Here is a 27,059-nt window from a genome sequence, read left to right as displayed (position 1 = left end):
GAGTTCAATTCCTGGTTATCCTTGTTGACTTTCTGTCTCGTTGATCTGTCTAATGTTGACAGTGGGGTGTTAAAGTCTCCCATTATTAATGTGTGGGAGTCTAAGTCTCTTTGCAGGTTACTCAGGACTTGCTTTATGAATCTGGGTGCTCCTGTATTGGGTGCATATATATTTATTATAGTTAGCTCTTCTTGTTGAATTGATCCCTTTACCATTATGTAATGGCCTTTTTTGTCTCTTTTGATCTTTGTTGGTTTAAAGTCTGTTTTATCAGAGACTAGGATTGCAACCCCTGCCTTTTTTTGTTTTCCATTTGCTTGGTAGATCTTCCTCCATCCTTTTATTTTGAGCCTATGTGTGTCTCTGCACGTGAGATGGGTTTCCTGAATACAGCACACTGATGGATCTTGACTCTTTATCCAATTTGCCAGTCTGTGTCTTTTAATTGGAGAATTTAGTCCATTGACATTTAAAGTTAATATTGTTATGTGTGAATTTGATCCTGTCATTATGATGTTAGCTGGTGATTTTGCTCATTAGTTGATGCAGTTTCTTCCTAGTCTCGATGGTCTTTACATTTTGTCATGATTTTGCAGCGGCTGGTACCGGTTGTTCCTTTCCATGTTTAGCGCTTCCTTCAGGAGCTCTTTTAGGGCAGGCCTGGTGGTGACAAAATCTCTCAGCATTTGCTTGTCTGTAAAGTATTTTATTTCTCCTTCACTTATGAAGCTTAGTTTGGCTGGATATGAAATTCTGGGTTGAAAATTCTTTTCTTTAAGAATGTTGAATATTGGCCCCCACTCTCTTCTGGCTTGTAGGGTTTCTGCCGAGAGATCCGCTGTTAGTCTGATGGGCTTCCCTTTGAGGGTAACCTGACCTTTCTCTCTGGCTGCCCTTAACATTTTTTCCTTCATTTCAACTTTGGTGAATCTGACAATTATGTGTCTTGGAGTTGCTCTTCTCGAGGAGTATCTTTGTGGTGTTCTCTGTATTTCCTGAATGTGAACGTTGGCCTGCCTTGCTAGATTGGGGAAGTTCTCCTGGATAATATCCTGCAGAGTGTTTTCCAACTTGGTTCCATTCTCCCCATCACTTTCAGGTACACCAATCAGACATAGATTTGGTCTTTTCACATAGTCCCATATTTCTTGGAGGCTTTGCTCATTTCTTTTTATTCTTTTTTCTCTAAACTTCCCTTCTCGCTTCATTTCATTCATTTCATCTTCCATTGCTGATACCCTTTCTTCCAGTTGATCGCATCGGCTCCTGAGGCTTCTTCATTCTTCACGTAGTTCTCGAGCCTTGGTTTTCAGCTCCATCAGCTCCTTTAAGCACTTCTCTGTATTGGTTATTCTAGTTATACATTCTTCTAAATTGTTTTCAAAGTTTTCAACTTCTTTGCCTTTGGTTTGAATGTCCTCCCATAGCTCAGAGTAATTTGATCGTCTGAAGCCTTCTTCTCTCAGCTCTTCAAAGTCATTCTCCATCCAGCTTTCTTCCGTTGCTGGTGAAGAACTGCGTTCCTTTGGAGGAGGAGAGATGCTCTGCGTTTTAGAGTTTCCAGTTTTTCTGCTCTGTTTTTTCCCCATCTTTGTGGTTTTATCTACTTTTGGTCTTTGATGATCGTGATGTACAGATGGGTTTTCGGTGTGGATGTCCTTTCTCTTTGTTAGTTTTCCTTCTAACAGACAGCACCCTCAGCTGCAGGTCTGTTGGAGTACCCTGCCGTGTGAGGTGTCAGTGTGCCCCTGCTGGGGGGTGCCTCCCAGTTAGGCTGCTCGGGGGTCAGGGGTCAGGGACCCACTTGAGGAGGCAATCTGCCAGTTCTCAGATCTCCAGCTGCGTGCTGGGAGAACCACTGCTCTCTTCAAAGCTGTCAGACAGGGACATTTAAGTCTGCAGAGGTTACTGCTGTCTTTTTGTTTGTCTGTGACCTGCCCCCAGAGGTGGGGCCTACAGTGGCAGGCAGGCCTCCTTGAGCTGTGGTGGGCTCCACCCAGTTCGAGCTTCCTGCCTGCTTTGTTTACCTAAGCAAGCCTGGGCAATGGCGGGCGCCCCTCCCCCAGCCTGGCTGCCGCCTTGCAGTTTGATCTCAGACTGCTGTGCTAGCAATCAGCGAGATTCCGTGGGTGTAGGACCCTCCGAGCCAGGTGTGGGATATAGTCTCGTGGTGCGCCGTTTTTTAAGCCGGTCTGAAAAGCGCAATATTCGGGTGGGAGTGACCCGATTTTCCAGGTGTGTCAGTCACCCCTTTCTTTGACTCGGAAAGGGAACTCCCTGGCCCCTTGCGCTTCCCAGGTGAGGCAATGCCTCGCCCTGCTTTGGCTTGCACACGGTGCGCGCACCCACTGTCCTGCACCCACTGTCTGGCACTCCCTAGTGAGATGCAGCCGGTACCTCAGATGGAAATGCAGAAATCACCTGTCTTCTGCATTGCTCACGCTGGGAGCTGTAGACCGGAGCTGTTCCTATTTGGCCATCTTGGCTCCTCCCCTGGATTACAGAATCTTTACTAATCTATCTTGAAGTTTGCTAATTCTTCTACCAGTTCAAGTCTACTGTTGAGTCCCTCTAGTGAATTTTTCATTTCAGTTATTGTATTTTTCATCGCCAAAATTTCCATTTGGTTCTTTTTATAATTTCTGTCTCTATATTGACATTATCTATTTGGTCAGGCATTGTCTTCATATATTTCTTTACTTTTTAAATCTTGACTTCCTTTAGGTCTTTGAACACATTTATAATGGCTACTTTGAAGTCTTTGTCAATTAAATCTGTGATTGCGTTGCTGTCATAGACAGTTTCCATTGCTTGCTATTTTCCCCGTGTAGTGGTCACATTTTCCTGTTTCTTTGCATGTATCATAATTTTTGTCGAAAATTGGACATTTTTGATGATATATTGTAGCAACTCTGGTTGGTTGCTACTGGTCCACCTCTTTCTTCTGTGAAGGTTGTTACTGTTGTTTACTTGTTTATTTGTTTAGTGACTGGTTGGATTATTTGAGTCTATTTCCCCTCTGCAAGATGAAGCCTCTGATCTTGCTCCTCAAAGGGTGTAGCCTTGGGCATGTCACAGTGTTATGGTAGGGCTCTCTTTGACTGCCTCTTCTGACCATACCACCTGTTAACCCCCACTAATTGCTGGTTGATTGCTCTATTGTCTTTAACAATGTCCTGGAATATAAATTACTCCACAGACTGATCTAGTTATATTCTGGCTCCTTTTCAGGGATAGTGTTTGAAGCCCCTTCTAATTCCAGGAAAGCTTTTCTTAGCTTTCCTTTTTCTGGGGTCCCTCAGTAAATTAGCTGGCCTATAGGTTAGTTTCTATCTATAACGAAGCTACCAGCCTGCTCTTCATTGCTTTCTACCAAAACCACTGTTTTTGATAGCACCCTTAGGATTGAACTTGTTCATATTCTATAATAAAGTCAGTTCCTTTGTGGAGAACTTCAGAGCTCTCTAGTTTATGGCCTTCTTCTCCCCCTGGGCAAAATCTCTGGGCCATGACTCTGGATCTGGAGTTGGGGGCAGTGGCATGCTTTTCTCTGAGCAACACTCCTGGTTTAGTCACTGGGCACTAGGTGGTAATTTGTTACAGAGAAATAAAAAAACAAATACAAGTCCTCTTTTAAATGTTTGCTTGGGACATCAAAATATATAGCCAGGCTTTTAAGGAAAAACATTACAATGACTTAGATCATTTTGGAAAATATTTGACCTGTATGGTTATTTCTTTTGCTTATATTTGTTCCATCATTCCAAAGATATGAGAAGAACCATGATTGAGCTAGTTGTCAAGACTGTGTTTCCTTATTGCTTAGTTTTGCAGTGTTTTGCCAGTGGCTATTTACTATAAGCTTTCAAAATCTTCTAGTAATATTTTCTATTTATTAAATAATGGCATTAGAAAGGGGTAACTGTATGCCAAATTGGTTCTTACTTTATCAAAGACTGACATCTTCATTCCCATAGTTATATTTTGTATGGTTTCACCTTTTTCCACTCATCTAATAAGCCCTGACCTACAGTCACTGATACTAGAGAAAACAAAAATAAAAATGTCATTCTAAATAGTATTTAAGGCAATTCTAAGGTGGATATTGGAAAGCTTGGATGTGGATACAAATTCTTAGTACTGACAAAGAAAAAAGAAAGATTATGTGCTTTGGAAAAAAACATTCAAAACATTTTGGCACCACATCCTTTTGCTTTTACCTTTAATCTGTGCTCTTCTGTTCAGAATCCATTGGCAAATTAGCAATTTCATAACATTGTATTTTTAATATAAAGAAATGTTCACTTTGGTTTTAATTCATTTTGTGTGTTAAAGGAAAACAATTTTTCATTAATAAATAAAGGAGTTCAAAGGAATCAAATTTGTTTTGCCCTAATGTCCTCTTCTCTTCAAGCCCGTGAACTTCTGAAGATACAAGGTCAAACAAATCACTACAATTGGCAAAAATGGTATGTTTAGATTAGTCAGGATGAATGTATTTAATTTTGGAAATTTACAATAATGCTGTGAAGATGAAGAGTCTTCTCCATCTGTTATATAGTTGCTCATGAGAAAAGCTAGCAAGTGGAGTGGCCCGGCATTTATAGTTCATATGTGGATGTCTGCTCATCCTTCTTTCCTATTTCATTTTTTTGCCAAGTAGTAAAAGTGGCAAAAAATCTTCCAAAATCTAGAGTGTCCCAATGTGTGGTGCAGTATGATGACAGCTGCTCAGAAAATTTTTTGAGAGGTAGAAAAAAATGCTTTAAGAATGGTGCCAGATTGTCAGCACAAGAATTTGAGTCAACTGATTGAATGCTAAGCAATATCCTGTTTGAGAGTTTGTTCCTAAAGCTGCAACGATTGTTTGAGCTGTAGTTACATGTATGAAAACATGTGAAGACACTTAGAAGGCATGTTTCACACTCTGTCGTTGTTAGGATCCCAAAATAAGTTGCTGGCCTAAGTACATGTAATTCTCTCATTAGAAAAATGGCAACCCAAGTGATCCTGTGACACAGCCTTTCTTGCCAAAGGAAAAAAAAGATACAGCAGTTCTTAAAGCATGGCATCTGGTAATATACTATATCTTAGTCAGAAATTAAGCTGCGCTAAAGAGAGCTAACGGGGCAGAACAAAATCTTTAAAAAACAAGTCCTCTTTTGTTAAAGAGCTTTCAACATCTCACTCTGCCTTCTTCCTAGTTTATAGTACATTAGTGGAGACAAAGAACTATGCCTCTGTAGTGATCTATGAAGTAAATAGGTCAGTTAGTCTGGACTAAATTCAATACTATTTGCAACAGGTAAAGTTCTTTGCCAGTCTGTCCATGTGACCACAGATTTCCCTGTACTCCTTCAGCCAGGAGGAATTATTATTAGTGCAATAGCACAGAGCACATCAAGCCATTTGGAAATCAATAGTATTGTAATATGTGCCCAAAATAAAATTAGATAGATGAATCTCAATTTTCAACTTTATTGAGGTATAATTGACAAATAAGATTTATGTACATTTAAGGGCTACAACTTAAAGTTTTGATATATGTATACATTGAGAAATAATCACTACAATCAAGCTAACTCACATAGTTGTTTCTTTCTTTCCTTTTTGTGGTGAGAACATTTAAGATCTACCCTCTCAGGAAATTTTAAGTATACAATACATTATTGTTAACTGTAGACACCATGCTGTATGTTGGATCTGCAGAACTTATTCATGGAAACTATACACTTTGACCAACATTTTCTTAGATAAATCTGAGTACTTAAATGTTAACATTTGTTACACTCAAAGATTAAATTAGAGATAGAATGATGCCGGTGAATTTAGAAAGACAAAGCTCACAAAATTCTTCATTTACATTATAATTCTTCATCTTTATGGGGCACAGTCTGATGTTCTGATACATATATATGTTATATAATGACAAAATCAGAGTATTTCATATCCATCACCTGCATTTATCATAAATTCATATGCATTTATCATTTCTTTGTGGCGAGGGCATCCAAAAGCCTCTCTTCTAACTGTGTTTGCATTTATCTAACTGTCATTTGGTTATTGATATGTAAGTTAATTACGTGTGACTAGAGAATCTGTTCTGTATTTTACCATTTCTTTGATGTGTTTTGAGACTTGCATTATGGCCTAGAAAAAAAAGAATTTTTATTATTTTGTTGAGAATGTTTGAAAAGGTTTATTCTCTAATTGGTCTTTACAATATTTTGTATATGTCCATTACATTAGATTTGTTAATTCTGTAATTTAAAGATTTTTGTATCTTTAATTACTTTGTTTGCTCTAGCTGTCGCTTTTTTACCTTTGATCAAGGTGGCCTCCAGGTTCCCCTCAGCTTGAGTAAACTTTACAGGCCTCTTCCTGACTCTGGGCCCCTAATTTCCCTTTTCCTGGAGCATTTATTTTAAAAATCTTGTAAGTTCTTTATCAGGCCCTTTTGAGATACAATTTTTTTAAGAAAGCTTCTTGCCAATTTACAAACCAGTAATGTCTTTCTTAGGAACCTGGAAGGCATCCCTATGAAATGTAGCCATGGAAACACAGTGTCCTATCTCCCAGTCTCCGTAGGAGGGCAGGAACCTTACTTCTTTGGGCATCTTCCTCTAAGCTGTAAAACTACCTCCTGTTATCAAGATATTTATTTATCCTTTGTGGTCTTAATGTTTTAGACATGTGATTTTTAAGCAGCAAGCATATATTTGGATATTTTATAAACAATCTGATCCAACATTCTTTGCATGTTAGAAGGACAGGTATTCCCTTTTATTCATGATTATTGATATATTTTGTATTATTTCTAACTTGTATGTTTCACATTTTTATTATCTTTTGTTGTTGTTTTATCCAATGACTAGGTTGAGACAGGAAATTTTTCTTGCTCTCCACCTTTCAGGATAAAATTTATTTTTCATTCAACATTATACAGAGGGTATAGCTCTTTTGGAGACCCAGAGTCATCTGATGGACACTCATTATAAACCCAAGTTCAACAGACCTTTGCAGTTATCCTCTATTCCTAAGGTTCTAGCTGATAACCAAACAGAATCTGAATCTCTAAGAATTTTTCTATAGGAAAATGCTTAATTTTTAATTTTTTTCATATTTTTAAAAATAGATTTTAAACATGTTAGATTTTTCCCTTGAGCATTTAGCTTTATTTCAGATGATCTGACTACATGGTGCTTAATCATTATTTTCTAAATATTCTGAAATTTATATTTGCATTTCCTTTTTGACACAAGAGTATGTTGGGAAAATCTGTCAAACTGTGCTTTTCCTTTACTCTCATACCACCACAACGATCAACACAGAAGACTTCTGTGACTAAATGTGTGCGTGTTTTTCCCCACCACCAAGCAGTGAACACCAGGTGGGTGTCCTGTAATTCAATTTCAACAGTCTCTACCTGGAGACAGTGTCGGATCCCTCAGGTGGAGGGCTCAGTCTCCAAGACTGCTCCCTCCTTCCCTTCAGGCACAAGTCCAGGCCTCTGGAACTTCTGACTGACTAGCTTTAAGTTGGGGTTCCCACGACCCTCTCTTTTTGGTTCAATTGGTTTACTGAAGTGGCTCACAGAACCCAGAGAAACTCTTATATTTACTGATTTACTAAGAAAGACATTGCAAAGGATACAGATGAAGAGATGCATATGGTGAGGTATAGGGGAAGGGGCACGGAGCTTCCATTTCCTCCCTGGGTACACCACCCTCCAGGAATCTCCACATGTTCAGCTATCTGGAAGCTTCTGGAACACAGTCCCCTTGGGTTTTTATGGAAGCTTCAAGATTCCATCATTTCTTCCTTTAGTGTATAGGGTCGGACCTTCTCTGGAAAGGATCCCAAGACCCACAGTCAGAAAGGTGGGGGAACATTAGAGTCCTGCCTTGGGGCCGGTGAAAGGAAGGCAGGAGAGAGATTCTGTTTCCTGAGGCCTAACACACTCAACATTATAACAAAAGTTTGCAACTAGGACTATGGCAGTTATGAGCCAGGAACTGTGGATGAAAAGCAATCTATCTATATATCATAACACCACAAAGAGTAACTAAAGAGAAAGTTTAAAAAATTCTACATGGATGGGTTTTGGAGTTTTTATGTTTTATTTTATTTTTAGTTTCATTTTCTTATGGTTGGCTTCTGCTAGGTTTCCACTGTGTCCACTTATTAATCTCAAACTTTAAGGCGTATCTGAGTTACCCAGATATCTTGTAAAAATGCAGGCCATACTTCAAGTAACAAAGTCCCATTTCATTATTTCAGTAGTTTTTGGAGTAAATATTGACTTCATCTTTATCTGCTTCTTGCTAAGTAGTCCCAGCTTACATTCAATATAACAATGTCGAACCATTTGGTATTTTAAAACACACTATATCTCATTTAGTCCTCCCAGCAGCATCCTTAGTAGATTTAGAAGGTTGTTTTCCTTTCTGAGAAAAGTGAGCCCCAGGGCACACCCCAGATATTTCTCCATCTTGGTTTCTCTGTCACCCATCTTGGTACCAGCTGTTTCCCAAAGGGGCTGGGGAGTGTGCAGGGCTAGGTAACAACTTCCATTTAGGTAATTTGCCCTAGAATACTTTTTCTCTGAGTCTGCTCTCCTTCCTCAGGGGCCCACTTTGCTTGCCTTTGGTGTTTTTTCTTTCAGATTGAGGTGAAATTGTGCTTGGCCTCCCTTGAATCCCACTATGTGACAGTTTTTCTGAATGTTGATTTGACATTTGGGTGTCTCTCTTCAGCTGACTGATTGTCATCGGTGAAGCTCAATTTTTTTTTTTTTATTACAGCTCCTTCCAGCAGGTTCCCAATGCATATTAACATAATAAAAGCTTTAGGACATCTTTAGTAACAAAATCTGTTTTGCTGTGTTTAAACCTGTGTTTAACAAACTTACCAAGCCGTAAAATCCTTAGTTTTGGCAAAACCATTCTTTTTCACTTTGCCAATGATTTTGAATTTTAAATACAGATACAAACATACATTTATTTAAATTTGTGCTAAACACCAAACATTATACTAAATACTTTAAAGCAAGGGTGTCCAATCTTTTGGCTTCCCTGGGGCACACTGGAAGAATTGTCTTGGGCCACACGTAAAATACACTAGCACTAACGATAGCTAGTGAGCTAAAAAAAATCGCAAAAATATCTCATGTTTTAAGAAAGTTTACCAGTTTGTATTGGGCCACATTCAAAGCCGTCCTGGGCCTCATGTGGACAAGTTTGCTTTAAAGACATTATCTCATTTTATACTCACAAGCACCCTATGAGTTCCATTTGATAGGTAGAAATTAAATGGAGGCTTAGTAGTTTCCCTAACATCTAGTGAATTCAAGACAGAGCTCAAGTTCAAATTAGGGTGCCTGGCTCAAAAGCAGGTTATGTATCTTTTGGGGATGCCTTATTGCTTTTCAGGTATTCAACACTGCTCCTTTCCTTAGGACAGGACTATTCAGCTAATTCTGACTTTGCCTGCTTTAAATAAAAGGACATGTGTAGGATTGCAGTTAGTGAGGGTTATAGGGAGACTACTGAACAATTGAGCAAATTTTACCAATAAATTGAATGCCCAGAAGGGTGTGTTTGTCACCTAGTAAATGTGGCTCAGTCCATAAGAAACACCATTCTCAGAAGAGATTTTAATGAATTTTACAGGTGTTTCTCTGCTTGCCGTGTCTCTTCCTCCAGGGCAGCTTTGCAAAGCTGATGAATAAGAGGTGACACGCCAGGGGATTTCTGACTGGCACACAGTACGTGAAAATATGGAGAAGAGCTCTGCTCTTACCGGGTAAAGTCAAATCTAATTTCCAAAACTAAATGAGAATTATAATGACAATAAAAGACCCAGAATACCACTTTATAATATATCTCATTGTATTTGTAATTCTTGGCAACAACAAGACGAAAAATCCTGAAATCAAATTAGGGCAATCTGCATGACAAAATATTAACAAGAGACAGTGGAGGCAGGAAATTGTTGATCATTTTCATTATCTGTAATGATGCTGTGAACTTTATTTGTCTTCACCTTGAAGTTTTGGAGAAAATCTGACTCTGCTTGGCAGCTTTAGCTTCTTTTACTGAAGCATCCTGCTATTTAAATAAACATGAAGCCCTTAAAGTTATTTTGGAATGATTTCCTTTCCCAGGTGCTTGGGGTTTTCCGTTCTGAAAACACACTCATTTAGAAAACCTAGAGGCTCTAGGTGTTGTTTATTACTTAGAGGAACATTTTTGCCGCATTTAAGATTACAAGTTTCCAAGGAACTTTGACATGGTTTTGCTCTGTGTCCCCACCCAAATTTCATCTCGAATTGTAATCCCCACATGTCAAGGGAGGGACCTATGATCCCCATGTGTTGAGGGAGGGAGGTGATTGAATAATGGGGGCAGTTTCCCTTATGCTGTTCTCATGATAGTGAGTGAGTTCTGACAAGATCTCATGATTTTGAAGCAGCTTCATTGTCTGGGGTGACACCAGAGGTTCTTGGTCTCATGGCCACAGAGATCAAGGACGTGGACACACACAAATGGTGAGGTTTAGAGCAGAATTTTAATAGGCAAAAGAAAGAGAATAGCTCTCTGCTACAGAGAGGGGTCCTGGAAAAATGGGTTGCCAATGCACAGTGAAACACAAGAGTTTTATAGATGAGCTAGTGGAGAAGCAGTATCTGATCTACATAGGGTGTAAAGAACTGGTTAGGATCAGGTGTGCCATCTGCATAGGGTGTGAATCTTTCTGGCAGCCCCCACCCCAATCTTTTATTATGCAGGTAGGTCCTCTGCCTGAGTTACTCCATATTGCTTATTTCTTTCTTACTGTGCATGTGTTAACAAAAAAGGGAAGGTGGAGCCCCCATCATGGACATGCCTGGCCCCAGGTAGCCCTTTTTATCGGTGCGGCTGCTGGCATCCCCCCATGCAAGCTTCCAGCTTCCTCAACTATGTTTGCAGCTCGATCTTCCAGGCTTCTCTTTGTTTGAAAAGAAGTAATTTCTTGGACCGCTTTTTGCTAGAAGGGAAGTTCTGCCAAGGACTCTTTTGCCCTCACTATCTGCCTAGATAATTTCTTTCTCTCTCCTGTATCAGTTTTATAAGCATCTGGCATTTCCCCTGCTTGCACTTTTCTCTCTCCTGCCATCTTGTGAAGAAGGTGCCTGCTTCCCATTCTGCCATGGTTTTAAGTTTTCTGAGGCCTCCTCAGCCATGTAGAACTGCGAGTCAATTAAAACTCTTTCCTTTATGAATTACCCAGTTTTAAGTATTTCTTTATAGCAGTGTGAGAATGGACTAACACAGGCTTGAATGAAATGAGGAGCATTTGGTTTCAAATATCAATTCATCCATTCTAATATAACCTTGGACAGTTAACTTTGTTTCAGTTTCCTTGCCATGATAATGAATCATAGTACCTTATCAGGTTGTGACAAGATTTGAAGGAAACTATATAAACTCTCCAGCCACAATAGGCACTTCATGATTAGTAGCTAGGCTCTTATAACAATTCTTATGAAAATCTGCTGAAGGGAAGAACTTACTTTGCTCTCCTGGAATTTTAGTTATAGGACCAAGCTAATAGGTCAGATATTAGGCATGCATTGGAGATAAACATGAATGGTTCTCTCCAGTTGGTATTTATGTTTTTCCAGAGGTCAGAGATATTTATATGAGACAGTGCTGAGAAAAGTTGAGTGAAATACAAATAAGCAGTTATCAAGATTGGTCAGAGAACTGGATTTTCCAAATTGAACTAGAATTGGGAAACAATCAGTTCTTGGACTCATACCTTCCCCCATTTACTGGTAAGAAGATTCTGTTCACAAATGCATTTTTATATACATAAGGCAGGTGATCAGATTGCTTTTTATATTATGTGTTGGATTATAAGTCTTTACTACTCTGCACTAACAAATTAGTGCCAAAAGAGCTTTTTCTTAATATTTCACTAACTTAGAAGTCTTTACCCTCAAAGCATCAGTTTAGATGTGTCTCTAATGAAAAGGTCCTTAGCTCCTGTGGGGTTTGGAGAACAATACCCCAAAGTGTAGTGATTTGGCATGCTGACTTCTTTCAAATTAAGGGAAACTGGAAGACCTCAGAAGCTTCCTCAGCACTAAGGTCTTTCTAATGTTCTCTTATTTCTCCTCCCCAAGCACAGGGTTGTCTCTCTGGAATTTCTTTATCTGACTGGGGAAACTTCTTGCTTAAAAAAAAAAAAATGCAATTGTCTTAAGCTCCCTCCCTAGGAATCTCATTAAATAATCCAGAAAGTTGGCAGGGCACGGTAGCTCACATCTGTAATCCCAGCACTTTGGGAGGCCGAGGTGGGCGGATCATGAGGTCAGGAGATCGAGACCATCCTGGCCAATATGGTGAAACCCCATCTCTACTAAAAATACAAAAATTAGCTGGGCCTGGCAGCACGTGCCTGTAATCCCAGCCACTCGGGAGGCTGAGGCAGGAGAATCGCTTGAACCCAGGAGGCGGAGGTTGCAGTGAGCCGAGATTGCGCCACCGCACTCCAGCCTGGGCCACAGAGCGAGACTCCATCTCAAAAAAAAAAAAAAAAAAAAAAAAAAGATTAAAAAAAAAAAAACCCAGAAAGTTTAACCATGGAGAAAAGACTAAAAGTTGTTACCACACCCAGTCTGACTTTTCTTCAACTATTCTTCTGATGGCAGCTTCAAGAGATTACCCGGGAGACTTTTATCTGCCTACTAAGACCACTTCTGTTCACGGTGAATTTCCTGTTCCTCACCTTCCTGTAACCTATACACAAACTATAGTTTGTCCTTGGTCTCATTCAGCATTCAGAGAAAATAATTTACAAACCATTGTCTTGTTTTCAGGCTCATTCATTCCCTCTAAAATAATTTACTAACCCTCTAAAATTTTCTACAGCCCCACCATCCCAGTTTCCCTCTCCCCTACATAGAGGACATTTAAGCCTCAACCATCTGGCCCTTCTTTGAGTCTCATATTTTATACGGTTCCATTTATGTCTTTTCTCCTGGTAATCTGTCTATTATCAGTTCATTCCAGTGAAACTTCAGAGAGGGAAGAAGGGAAGCTTTCCTACAATCCCTACACTCCTTTCTGACTATTTCTCTGCTATCTTTGATTGAGCATACTGTAATTAAAGTGGGATTTGATAAGTGTGATTCTAGGTAAGATACTCAGGTAGGCTAATTTATCTTCCAGTTTCTTTCAACACCTTGCTTTTTCTTCTATTCTTCTATCTTTTAGCCTTTACATAAACTCCTTTCTTTAAACATAATCCTTGATTTATTCTCATTTATCTATAATTTGGAAAATTGTCTGATAAAGTCATTTTGGCTTACAATGATTTTATCTGGAGAGGAATTAATTTCTATCCTGCTCCCATCTACTGCTGCAGGCTGATCCCACATCTAGCCAAGAAAGGCAGAAGAGCTTACACACTTCACTATCTGAAAGCATCAGATGAGCTGGACCAATGCTTGAAATAAGATGTTTCCCCTTAGCAACTAAAATTATTCCTATAGATGACAAATACCAGGGTGGGGGCAGGCATTCCTAGACAGATGCATAGAACTATAAAGGGAAAGAAAAAAAAAACTGAAGTAGATTCTGAGATATGCTAACTCTGCTTCTGTTTATGGGCATGAAAAGTCTTTTTCCTTGGAGGACTGAATGTTAAAGATGTGTGTGTGTGTGTGTGTGTGTGTGTGTGTACCTCTGTGTAAAAGCATATGAAGATGTATGTTTATGTGTGTATCTGAGCACATGCATGTACTCACGTAATTAACTCATTATCTGGATAATTTTATATTAGAAATATTATAAGAAATTCCTCTGTGACTGTGTGTGATTCCTTTTCCTTTCTGATAATTTACAGTAATTACAAGTCTTTCTATGGCTGTTTAGTTTCAAAGATGATATCTGGGTAATGCTAGAAGCCAAAGTCATATGCCTACACACTCTAGCAGCCTCTTTTGTCCCAAGACTACCTAAATTCCTACCTGGATTATCCTCTAGAGGGAGCGAGAGGAAAAGAGTGCATAGTGATTATGTGTATGGTCTGAGCCTCAGAGAGGTCTGTATTAAGGTCTCTACTATTTAATGTCTGTATAAATTGGACAGATTATTTGGCCTCATTAAAACTCATTTTTTTTCATTTGTAAATAGAGGACATGTAACTGAGAAGCTTGTGAGTATGAAATAAAACATGTAAACTAGCATAGTGTCTGACATTTATTAGGTGCTTACTGAATGTTAATTATTATTGTTATTGCCATAATGATTATTACTAGTACTTGATTATTACTACTACCAACACCACTAGTATAACAATCAGTACATGTAGTCTTTAATGTTTCTATTGTCCCTTGGAGTTTCTGTAGTTAATAATCGTCAAACACATTACAAATTTGGATATCAGAAAGGGGATATTTTATGTTGGCCATTTTAAGTAAAAGATGAAATTTTATTAACTCGAAAGAGTGCCCTTTACTCATGTCAACTTTCTATTAGGAAATGAAAAGTCGGTTTGTAATAGGAACAATTGTTCCTGATTTATGTGTTTCAGATATGGCTATGTGACTGTCAGATTTTATTAATGTGAGACTCACCTTTAAATGTGATAATGAAATATTGACTAGGAAAGAACACTAAGTACGCATTTCAAGATGAGTTTCTATGATTGAAATTTTGTTTAAAAAATCAACTTGAAGAAAACTACCATTTATTAAGTATCTATAGATGTCAGATACTCTTTTAGATAAGTGATATTTTATGACATTTAAAAAATATTTATATTTACTGATATTATCCTGAGTGTACACATGAAGTTTCTGAAACAGAGCATATTATTATTTATTTTATTTTTATAGATTTAGGTGGTACAAGTGCATTTTTGTTGCAGAGACATATTGCATAGGGGTGGTCTTGGCTTTTAGTGTAAACATCATCTGAAAAGTGTAAATTGTACCCAAAAGGTAATTTCTCATCCCTCTCCCCCTCACACCCTCCCATTTTTGGGTTCTCCTATGTCTTTTGTTCTACTCTGTATGTTCATGTGTTTCACTTACAAGTGAGAACCTGCAGTATTTGACTTTCTATTTCTAAGTTGTTTCACTTAAGATAATGGCCTCCACTTCTATCCATGTTGCTGCAAAAGACATGATTTCATTATTTTTCATGGCAGAGTAGTATTCTATGGTGTGTATTGACCATGTTTTCTTTATCCAGTAGTCCGATGATATGGACACTTAGGTTGATTCCATGACTTTGCTATTGTCAATAGTGCTGTGATAAACATGAATGCAGGTGACTTTTTTATATAATGATTTCTTTTCCTTGGGGTAGGTACCTAGTATTGGGATTGCTGGGTTGAATGACAGTTCTATTTTTAGTTATTTGAGAAATTGCCATACTGTTTCCATAGAGGATGTACTAATTTATGTTCCTCCCAACAGCATTTAAGTGTTCTTTTTCTCCACATCCTCACCAATATCTTTTGTTTTTTGTCTTTTTAATAATAATCATTCTGACTAGTATAAGATGGTATTTCATCGTGGTTTTGATTTACATTTCTCTGATATTAGTGATGTTGAGCATTTTTCATATGTTTGTTGGCCGCTTATGTGTCTTCTTTTGAAAAATGTCTGTTTATGTACTTTGTACACTTTATAAATGGGATTATTTGTTTTTTTTATTAACACTGACTTTTTTTTCCTATTGACCTTTTTGTAAATGACATTGGTTTTGTAATAGGAATTGTGTTGAATCTATAGATTGCTTTGGGTAGTATGGTCATTTTCATGATATTGGTTCTTCCAATCCATGAGCATGGGATGTTTTTCCATTTATTTGTGTCATTTATGATTTCTTTCATTAGTGTTTTGTACTTCTCTTTGTGGACATTGAGATGGAGCAGAGACCCCTCTTAGGGGCATGCAGCCCCACCAAGCATGGAAAGAAAGGAAAATCTTGTTTCTTTGAGTGAAGTTCGAGAAAGCTAGCTAGCCCTGAGATGTAAATGAGCAACTTAATAGGCGAGAAAGTAATAGCGGATTAAAACAATAGCCAAAAAAATTAGAGTCATGGGATGCTTGGTCTCCTATAGAAACTAAAAGCAACATCTTAATGTATGTTCCTGAGTTTTTTTTTTTTTTTTTTTTTTTTTTTCAGAAATCCAGACCCCCACTAAACAAGTTTTCTGGCACATAGACCTCAGATAAGGGGGAACTGAGGACTGAACTCTGACTGTTGTTCTTTGTTCCACAGTTCTTCCTGAGGGCCTGAAGGAAGTCATTCTCACAAGCCAGAGCTAACATTATTTTCTATTGACCCCAAATTTTTAAACAAAGTTTCTTTTCTATAACCAATTGTAAATTAGAACATCTGTAATTTTCCTATGAATGACCTGTGAGCCCCTGCTTCAAGATAACCCTCCTTTGTAGGCCAAATTAATGTGTAACCTCCATGTACACCCTGTATTAATTTATACTTTTGCCTGTAACTTTGGCTTTCCTGAAATTTCCCCCTGCCTTTAAATACCCTTGCTCACAAGCTACTGAGGAGTTCAGGTTTTAAGTGAGCTGCCTGATTCTCCTTGCTTGGCACTTTACAAATAAACACCCTCCTTTCTTGTGCTGCAAACCTCAGTGTGGATGTTTGGCCTTACTGCACCAGACGAGTGGACCCCACTGTGGTTCATTAACAAGATCTTTCACATTTTTGTTTAAAATACCTTCTAGGTATTTTTTTTTTTGGTGGTTATTGTAAATGTGATTGAGTTTTCAAGCTTGATCATTATTGGTGTATAGAAATACTACTGATTTTTGTATGCTGATTTTGTATCCTGAAACTGTACTGAAGTCATTTACCAAATCTAGGAGTCTTTTGGAGGAGTCTTCAGGGTTTTCTATGTATGAGGTCATATTATTAGTGGACAGAGATAATTTGACTTCTTCTTTTTCAATTTGGATACCTTTTATTTCTTTCTCTTGCCTGATTACTCTAGCTTGGACTTCCAGCACTGTATTGAATAGGAGTGGTGACAGTGGACATCCTTGTCTTATTCCAGTTATTAAGGGGAATGCTATTATTATTTATTCACAGCAAGTAATGATAGCCAGATAGATTAAAACCCTACACCTAGGAGTCTATATTTTGGGTGAGGAATCCTAAAAAAATGAATGTGGATTATCTATGCCATCCTCCTCCCCTCCTGAGAGGGTCTCCTTGGCAACATAATGGGAAGGATCCTGAATTCTCACCTAGTCCCTTGGAATATAAATAAATCTCTCTAGAGGAAAGGGATCACATGAGGGTCTCCAGCTTTACAATGCAGATTGTTCCTGTGTCTGTCTCTCTCTGGAGTTCTCTAGGTATGTAAATTAGTCATAAGTTAACCTCCAGCAGTTGTTTTAATTTGCTCAGAAAGCTCTAACTATGCAGAAACATAAAATATTATCACTATAGCCTCAGATATATATGATTACATTTAAACCCACACACCACTATTTTTTCCCCATATCTCTTTTACAGAAGGAGAATCAAGGGTCAGAAAGTTTAAGTAAATTTTCCAAGGTCATACGACTAGTAAGGGAAAGATTTCTGATTAGAATGGAAGCCTGTCCGATGTGAAAGCTCTTTGGTGGCTACAATGCTGGCCTGAAAGACAAGCTTAAGGAATACATATTTTACATCTCCCTTTTCAGTAAGCCTACATTAAATGATTCTGAGGATATGAGCATCTCACCTCCTATATAAAGGCTTTTCTGCAGTCATTTGGCACAGTAAACCACTTACAAACATCATGGAAGAAGAGAACTGTTTGACAAAAAGAGGAAAGTAGGATTAGAAATTAAGAAGGTACATTTTCCTCTCTTTTCCACAGTCTCATGCTATTTTTTTTTTTTTTTTTTTGGTCGGGGGACGGAGTCTCACTCTGTCATCCACCTAGGAGTGCAGTGGTACAAACTCGGCTCACTGCAGTGTCTGCCTCACAGGTTCAAGTGATTCTCCTGCTTCAGCCTCCCAAGTATCTGGGACTACAGGTGCACACCACCCCACCCAGTTGTAATTTTTCAGTAGAAACAGGGTTTCACCGTGTTGGCCAGGCTGGTCTCGAACTCCTGACCTCAAGTGATCTGCCGGCTTTGGCCTTCCAAAGTGCTGGGATTACAGGCATAAGCCACCTCGCCTAGCCCAGTTTTGTGCTATTAATTCATTGCTGAAGAGTTGCCTCAAAGATTGGGAAGGCTATTTTTCTCTCCATAGGCTTTGCTCTCTTCCTATTCCAGTAAAGAAGTATTTTTCTTCTATTTGTATTATTTTGCTCTATGCTTGTAGCCAATATGATAGCATATGCTGCTCATGGGTGTTACAAAGACACGAAGAAGCTTTAATGCTGATTTTCTTTTTGAGTTCTAACTTCATAGGCGGTGAATTTAATAAGGGCAAAGAAGACAAATAATGTCTTTTGTCCGTTTTTGCTTTGTACCGTTGTTAGGTGACAGTATCTTTCATAAAGGCATTATGGTTCTGATGACCTAAATGTATCCCTCCTGTTGTGAAGAACATGAGTTACCAATGCATTAAAATAGTCTTTATTCCTGGTTTACTCAATTTTGCTGCAGTAAAAAGGACAAAGCTGGTGATAATGCCAAAATACTCTAATACGTAATGGTGCATTTCAAAACAGGGTTTTCAGGACCTCAGCAAGTCCAATATGTATCAGGGCCGAGCCTCAGGGATCATACCAGGGTGCAGTTATGCTTTCCCAGCTGACTCTGTCTGCCTCAATGTCACATGGGGCCAGGAATATTCCTGTGATTTTAAGTGTTGTGGTGAGGCATGAGTCATCTGTGAATGCACTTTTTAGGGTCTGAAGGTCCTATGAGGTATTACCCTTGAGAAAGACTGGAGAAAGAAAGGCTAGGGCTAGGAGTTGACCACTGCCACCCATGTCCAGGCCCTACCAGCAAAGTCATAGGCTCATCACGGGTCATTGCACATGCCTACCTGTGCCTTGGTATGGCTAGAGCCTGGATCCAAACCTCTGGTCAATGTTGGGCAAAAGAGATCACCAGAGATTGGGCAAGCTATGCTCTGAGGAAACTTCTGATGACAGCTCTGCCTGTGGCTACACTTGCTCACTTCTTTTTTGTTTTTAGATAGGGTCTTGCTTTGTCACCCAGTTTAGAGTACAGTGGTATGATCCTAGCTCACTGCAGCCTCAAACTCCTGCCTCAGCTTCCCCAGTAGCTAGGACTAAACTGGTATGCACCACTGCACCTGGCAAATTTAACTTTTTTGTAGAGATGGGGTCTCGCTATGTTGCCCAGGCTAGTCTTGAACTCCTGGCCTCAAGTGACCCTCCCTCCTCAGCCTCCCAAAATGCTGGGATTATAGGTATGAGCCACTATGCCTCACTTTTACTGGAAGATACTTAAGGAGGAAAAGGAAGGAACCTCTTGATTTCCTATCGCTGTCTCTTCTCTTCTTATCTCCCCCATTTGCAGCTTCTCTGGGATTTAGAAAATAACCAAGTAGAGATTTGCCTTAAACAATTGGCTTATTTTTCTTTGATTTATTAAGGAATAGGAGGGAGATTGTGATGATGGTGGGAGGAGTGAAATGTGAAGAAAATTAACCTTTGCATCCCTACTGGATGTCAGACCTTTTGCATACAGTCTCTTATTTTGGTCTTGTATCACCTATGCAAGGTAAGCATTCATTCCATCATCCATTAATTTATTGAGTGCTTATTATGTTCCAGGCAGCATTCTAGGGGCTGATCATTAATATCTCCAATTAAAGATGAAGAAAAAAATCTGAGAGAGACTAAAAAACTTGCTCCAAGTCGTGCAATTAATCAGTGGAGAAACAGAATTCAAGTCCAGGACAGGTCCACTGGGTCTGATGATTTCTTCTTTGCAGGTGGGAGGCAGTTATTTTTAAGAGGTTTAATAAGGAGTTTAATAAGGTTAACTAGACCAGTTTCTCCTTAATGATTAATGCTGAAAGTATATCTCCACATAATTTGTGTGGAACCAAAGCGGGAATGTGTGGAGACTGTTACTGCTCCCTTTCCTGCTTTGTTTTCAGTTTCCTTCTGTATCACCTCTATTTTTCTGACTCCTCTCCCCTCCATCATTCATTCCCTCCCCTTTGATGTGGACAAGTCATGAACTCTTGATCTTATGTAGAGTACTTTGCAAGCTCAACTTCAAAGACCTCTTCCAACCACATATTGACCACTAAACCCTTCTCAGGTAGAAATTTGGAGCTTCTGTGGTCAGTTCCTTTGGAAGCTTCCTTAGGATTCAGTGTAAATAAAGCTCCATATCTAAGATTCCATTCAGAACAAAGTAAAAATAATTTTTAATTTGTTGGATGTTTGAAGGATCCTTCTATTGCCATTTTTATCTGTAATAATACTATGGTTTGTGACATGATGTGTGGAGACTTTAGAGACGACTTTTCAGCTTATTTTGTAGAAGAAAGTATAAAATGTTTTGTTCAGTGTTCTTAAATTTTTAAATTTAAACCTTTCATGCATTCAATTGGTTTTGGGTATTACTTAGTGGCTACTCTTTGTGGCTGAAACCCATTTTATCACAATTTTATAATGGGTTATTTATTCAGGATTTAGAAGAATAGACCTATTGCTTAGGCATATCGATTGACACAGTAATAAAGTCAGTCCTTCAGATTGGTAACTTTAAAAATTTATTTTATGATTTAATGGGAGTTTCTTAACTATTCTGTTTTATTTTAATGGACAGTCATATCAAGAACAGCTCTGGTAATGTAATTCACAACCAGTTCTTCCATTATGAATCGGATGAATTTTTTATGGCTTTCAGAAACGAATCTCTACCCATGAGACACTTATAATGGTAAAAGAATGAATGAAAATTCAGTCTTCTCAAAGCAATGAAGCAATGCAGGAGTAGAACAAAACAATATAATAAAGTCAAGAAGCTTCCTTAACTTTTGCTTAACAAAGGTTTAAGTTTAGCTGTTACATATGAGAAAAGGCTTATGAAAAAAAAATCACTGCTTCCTAATTTAGTAAAAGACAGATAAGACCATCTACCTCAGCTGGAAACTTGCTACAAGTGACACTTCAGGTTTTTAAAATAATCTTTCAGAAAAAAATACATTTTCTCACTACTTTCACACAGAAAGAAACAGACAGGTAGTGAAGCATTTCCTGCCTGTTTTCCTTGATTTTGCAAACTGAGTGAATCTCTCTGTCATGCTTTTGTCTCCATATCCGACAAACAGTGCTTGTATTATTGCTAATTATTTTCTTCTCCAGACCTCCTTTACTTCTGTAAGAAATATAGACCTCCCACTTAACTATTCACAAATTCCCCATAAGGGCATCTAAAATATTATCATTGAAGTTGCATAGCACTGTTTTCTGTTATGTAATTCTAAGAATGCTAAACCCTGTTTGAATACTATGATATAAATTGTTTACAGATAAAAGTAACACATTTGAAGATTTTGAAATGAACATCTTTCTATAACCAAGAGGAAAATATTTAAGAGATTGTTGCATATCTATTGCAGTATCAGAGAATTTAGATTCAAATCATTTTTTTATTGACATGGAAGAATTTTTGCCTTTCATTCACAAAATAGGGTAAATGAAATCTAAAAAAAGGAATAAAAATTTTACTTCCTAGAAGAGTTAAACTAATCTTTCTTATCTAAATTTTCCCTATTTGGAGTATTCTCTATGGGGTTTGACTTTAATCAGTAGAAATTCTAAATTTACAACAAGGTAGTTTTGGGGATGTCATCAGGTGACCTATAGGAAGAACACTACATCTGCATTTACATTTCGGGTTGCCCATTTTTCAGGATAAATGAGGAGAGTTTGGGATGGGGAGTAGAGACAGCAGTGAGTCCCTCAGTTGACATCTCACTGCCTCTTACTGTGACCTTTGGCTGCAGCTGAATTGTTTTTTTAAGTTCCTACAGTAAACAGAATTAATATTTAAGCTGCTTGCTGAATGAAGTAATAAAATACATCCTTGATGTGTTGTTTTATGGCATGGGCCACTGAGATGTTTATACAATGCCAAATGACTTACAAAGGGATTTTTTTGAGGTGAACATCCCTTTAGGTAAGATAAATCACTATGCTAAAACAAATAAACAAATAAAGGTTTACTATAGACCACTTCTAAACTACCTTTCCTATATCTCACTCCTTACTGTCTACAAAGAATCCTGTAGAAGAGGGTATTGGAATGGTTGTGTAAAATCAATAGTAATTAGTCCTGGATACAATACACTGGAAAAGACACACAAGTGAACATGTATGTGTGTACACAGGTATGTATAATATATGTGTTCTCTTCATCTATATAAAATATAAAATATTAAAGATATGCATATCTGAATGTATATATGGGTACATGTCTGTAATATTTTGTAAATATAAAAATTACTTTGTACCAACATGAGCTGTGTTTAGTTGTTTCACTGACTTAGACAACCAGTCTCTCAGAAATGAGGATTCACTTGTTTAATTTCTATAGTTGCTAAGATAATACCATACACAAACATTTACTGCATAGTTGATGACAACTACCCTAAGAAGTAGGGTTTTCTCTGTGTCTTTGTGAATGCTATTCTTCCTTGAGTGGTTTTTCTCCCTCTTACCTCTACCTTCTTTGTGCTGTCTTCCTGGGTCACAAAACAACATTGACGTTCCTTTATGAATTTCAAAACCACTTGTAATTTAGACCAGTACTACTCAAAATGTTCTGGAGCTGCTATGCAAACTGATACCTGCCCACCACAATTAGGGAGGTACAGGAATTGAGGGTAAACAATTAGGAACTTTTGGAGCAATTTGACTTTACTGAGATATCCAAGCAGAATCTCTCATAACTTCTTATTGTATTTTATAATATATTGGTCTACTATAGATCAGAAATTAAAAAAAGACAAACATGAAAAAAAAACACCTTGGACTTTCACCACAGATGGTTTGAGAAGCAATGATCTATGTGACTGTTTCTTGAACCTGACTACATATCAAAGTTCCCCGGAGAAACTTCTTAAAAAGCACAAGATGGATAGTGACTGGAGCTAGGCTCTGTTAAAAAAAAACTATCCAGGTTATCTTGATGCACATCATGTTTGCAATGTCATTTGAACCATATCTGTTTAATTGCTGCAGCTAATTACATCAAGACTCATCAATTTTTGATGATTCTAGTAGAATTGGATGCCATGTGAGCATTGATCTTGTCCTCACTGCTATGCCTTCAGCACTAGACTTATAATTGATACACAGTAAGTGATTAAAAATTCTGGATAAATGAGTGAATGCATCATGTCTTCATTTTGTGGCCTCTAATAGATTCTTGGGATGTAAAAGAACTCATTTTATATACATATGCAAATTTAAAACCTTCTATAATAAGTCTGACATCACCTGTGTCCTCTCTGTGTTTGTGTTATCAGCAAGTGAATTTCTCAGTACTCCCACATCACAAACCCCAATTACCACTCCATATGTTTCCCAAATTAGTAGCTAATAGCGTTTTCCCAGGCGAATGTATCTAGAAATACCCAGGGATTCACTGCTATACCTAAGTCAGCAATGGTTCATCTTTCTCCTTGCTGTGGAGGAGAACTTGACCAGAGGAGTCCACTTCCCCTGGCCCGGCAGCTTCTTGCATGGGAAACTAGCTGCTCCTGCTGCTACTTGGCTGATGATTTACCCTATAGCACATTTTATCTTTACGTAAACACACAAAGTCCTTTCACGTCTTTGTTCCTGTTCCCATGCCATGACTCCTTCCTGGAATACCATTCTTTTATTCTTACTCACTAAATAAGCTCTTCTACTCCTTTTCTTCGGGCCCCCTTCCTCTGATTCAGCTGAGAAACAACTACTGTCTGTCTCCATCAAAGCTAATTTTCTGCCTCCTGTTTTCCCACCATACTTTGCCATTCTAGACATCTGTTGCATATCATTTTTTCTGTTACTTAACTAATGCATCAGTCTTCATTCATTCTCCTCCCAGACTATACTCCTCCTGGGTTCAGAGCATATCTCATTCATTTCTGTGTTACCTTTGCTTATCTCAGTGCTGGCTTCAGAGTAGATACTTCAGAGATGCTATTTAAATCAGAGTTAGGGTAGTTAGAATAGGAGAGAATGAGGACTCTATGGTGCTCAGGTGCCATGCATCCTGCAAAGAGAACATGAAAGGACATTTTTTTTTCCTTCAATAATTACATGGACTCCTTCAGTGATCCCTGTGTCTGTTGGGCCTTGAGTAATTACCTGCAATCTCTGTCTTTGTGAGGCTATTAATTAAATTCCTTTCGGTGCCCCAAAAGTGGACATTTCTTGTCTGTATCCTTTTGTTCTGTCCACACAGGAATACTGCTGCTGAATTCAGTCTCTTCCAAGTTCAATAAAAGAAATACATTTTCTTTCAGTATTCCTCTCTTTGCTACAATCTGGACATAGGTTCCTTTATTTTGTCAAGATAATGGATATTAAAAAATAACAGCCAATATATTATTTTGTTACTAATAGTCCCTTTAGCACTTGAGTTATAAACCTTTTGGAGGCTCAGTGATTCTGTTCTCTTTATAAGGGGGATTTCTTTTTGTTCTTTCTGTCCATCAAGACAAACAGATTTCCTCTCTGATGTGCTTTTATATCCAGTTCACCCTTGCACTGGGGATATAGCCTTCTGGAGTGCCAACTGCATATGGAGTCTTCTGTTCGATTCTGCATCTTGTAGGAGCTAGGATTAATCTTTGGCTCACTGTTCCTGTCATAACATCAGAACAGATACTCAGGGACACCAGGCTCAGCAGATGCCTCCAGGTGAAAGTCAGGTGGGTTGGTGAACACTTACCTATCCCTATGCAATGTTCTTTCACTTTATTTTTTGGCTTCTGATTATTGATTAGTTTCTTGCCAGCTGAGGGAAGAACTGATATGCATTAATATTTACTTTCTAGAACTTTAATTTCTTTCAGTGAGTATGACATCTGGGGGGGCGTCTAGGATATCACATACATAGACCCAGAAGCCTAAGCATATTTTCTCAGTGTACTACTTTAGATAATTTTTATAGATAATTTGAATGGCAGTCCAACTACCTTCTTGGGATGGAAGAGGGAAACATACTTAAGAACAGAACATAAATTTGCATGTCAAAACTTATTTGGCCTTAAGAATAATTGTAAAATGAATGAGAAAATGGTACAAGAGAGCAACATAAGGCTTAGAAATTTGAGAGTAAATGCACTTTGTCCAAAAACATAAATAAATAAAATAAAGGTTAGGGAAAAAATCTTTATTATTTGTGGGTGATGAGAACCTTTCATTAAATCCTTCTTTGGTGTTTTTGAAATCTTTGCATTTTTATTTAAACGTGGGTTGAATTTGTCATATACATGAATTGCTACAAGTTTTTCTTATTGCTTCTCTTTTCAACAGACTTTCTCTTCTTGATGCTGCTGTCTTATTTTTTCAAATCTTCAACTTCCTTTTAGTTGATTCTGCTTTAAATTAGTCTCCCAATCTGTTTCCTTCTCTCTCCCCATAGGTTTTTTTTTTTCCCAATTCTTCCTCTGACTCACAAACATACGAGACAGACATCTTGCTCACAGACTTTTCATTCTTTCCCTCCCCTTATCTCTGACATTTTTCTTCTACTCTTTTTACGTGAAAGAACTATTTTTTACAGAAATGTTTCTTCTCTTTTTCAAATTTTTGAAAAATTAGGCAGCATATGAAGAATCTTGGAAACCTGAAAATAAGTGATTAAAAGCTTGCTGAATAATAGTTATTTTTAAAATGGAGAATGCCTGAAAAAGCAAAGATCTCTCTAGTTTCACCAAAATGGGCAGAGTCAATAGGATTCTCTATGTTTATTTAAATGTAAATGTGAAGGTGATAGAAATGAAGATCTAAAGCAATGGTAGGAGAGAAAGGTTATGGGACACAATCGGTAATTATAACTAACAATCACATAAATTGAAATGGGTAATTTTACAGGCTTCTGAAAAGATTTAAAAGGATGGATTGTTGCATAAGCCGAAGGTAAAAATGACTGGGCTAATGTCTTTGGTCCCCTTTAAGAGTAAAAGCATTCCTAAGAGCAAAATGTAGTGATAAAAAAACAATGATTTTGTGGAATGTTCTGTATGAATATCCACATGTTCATGGTACTTTGCAGGTCACCACATGATTAACATTTAATGTTCACAACAATGCCAGTTCTTGCCCTCTCTATTTTTAAGGTGGGGAAACTGAGGCTTAGACCTGTTAGACAACTTTCCCTGGATCACGCAGCTGGTAGGTGGAAGTACCAGTATTCAAACACAGGTGGGCCATATTCTGAGGTCTGATTTCTTAACGAAAATGTTGCCTCAACTGTATAACCTAAAACCAAGGTAGGAAAGAAAATGGCAACCTGTGTGATTGCAGTGATCTTTTGTTGTGTTTTTAAAAAGAAGATTCCTTACATACCATATTCAAACTTCAATAAATCTTAAAGAAAATTTTGTCAGTCCTCATTCCATAGACAAGGAACATAATTCTCAGAGAACGGAAGGAACTAGCTCAAGTATGTCATTGGTTTTTGTGGGATGATAACCCCAATCATTCCACTGGCACAACCTCGACTCCTAAATTCAACTCTCTACTCTCTGTTCCCACCCACAAATTATCTTCCCCACTGATTTCTCACAAGACTTCTAATTCTTTTGTATTAAGGTACTGTGTATTCAGAAATCCTCCACTAACATGCGATTGTGTTGCCCAGAGGGAATATCACTATTGTTATTGTTTTTCTCTGGGTTTTCTTCAGACAGCTTCTTTTCGACTATCCAGCAGAAAGGAGCAGAGGAGTAGGTTCTGGACCAATTCTAACCCCCTTACTCACAGATGTTCTGCCTTGGGAAAAAAAAATATACAGTTGCTCTCTCAATGGGCAGGTTATTTGTGTTCCAAATTGTTCATGAGCATTAAGAACATTGTAGATTAATGAA

At 38.0% G+C, this 27,059-nt stretch overlaps 1 annotated feature.

Moving 5' to 3' along the window:
- Positions 1,660 to 2,219: an enhancer, noted in NCBI's record as "H3K27ac-H3K4me1 hESC enhancer chr5:130068063-130068622 (GRCh37/hg19 assembly coordinates)". NCBI's record gives its function as "activates a minimal SCP1, AML or CMV promoter by ChIP-STARR-seq in naive H9 embryonic stem cells {active_cell/tissue: H9 hESC(naive)}" and the evidence as "EXISTENCE:reporter gene assay evidence [ECO:0000049][PMID:30033119]".

This window comes from Homo sapiens, chromosome 5 (genome assembly GCF_000001405.40).
Source record: "Homo sapiens chromosome 5, GRCh38.p14 Primary Assembly".
Lineage (NCBI taxonomy): Eukaryota > Metazoa > Chordata > Mammalia > Primates > Hominidae > Homo > Homo sapiens.
This window is presented reverse-complemented; position numbering and strand designations above follow the sequence as displayed.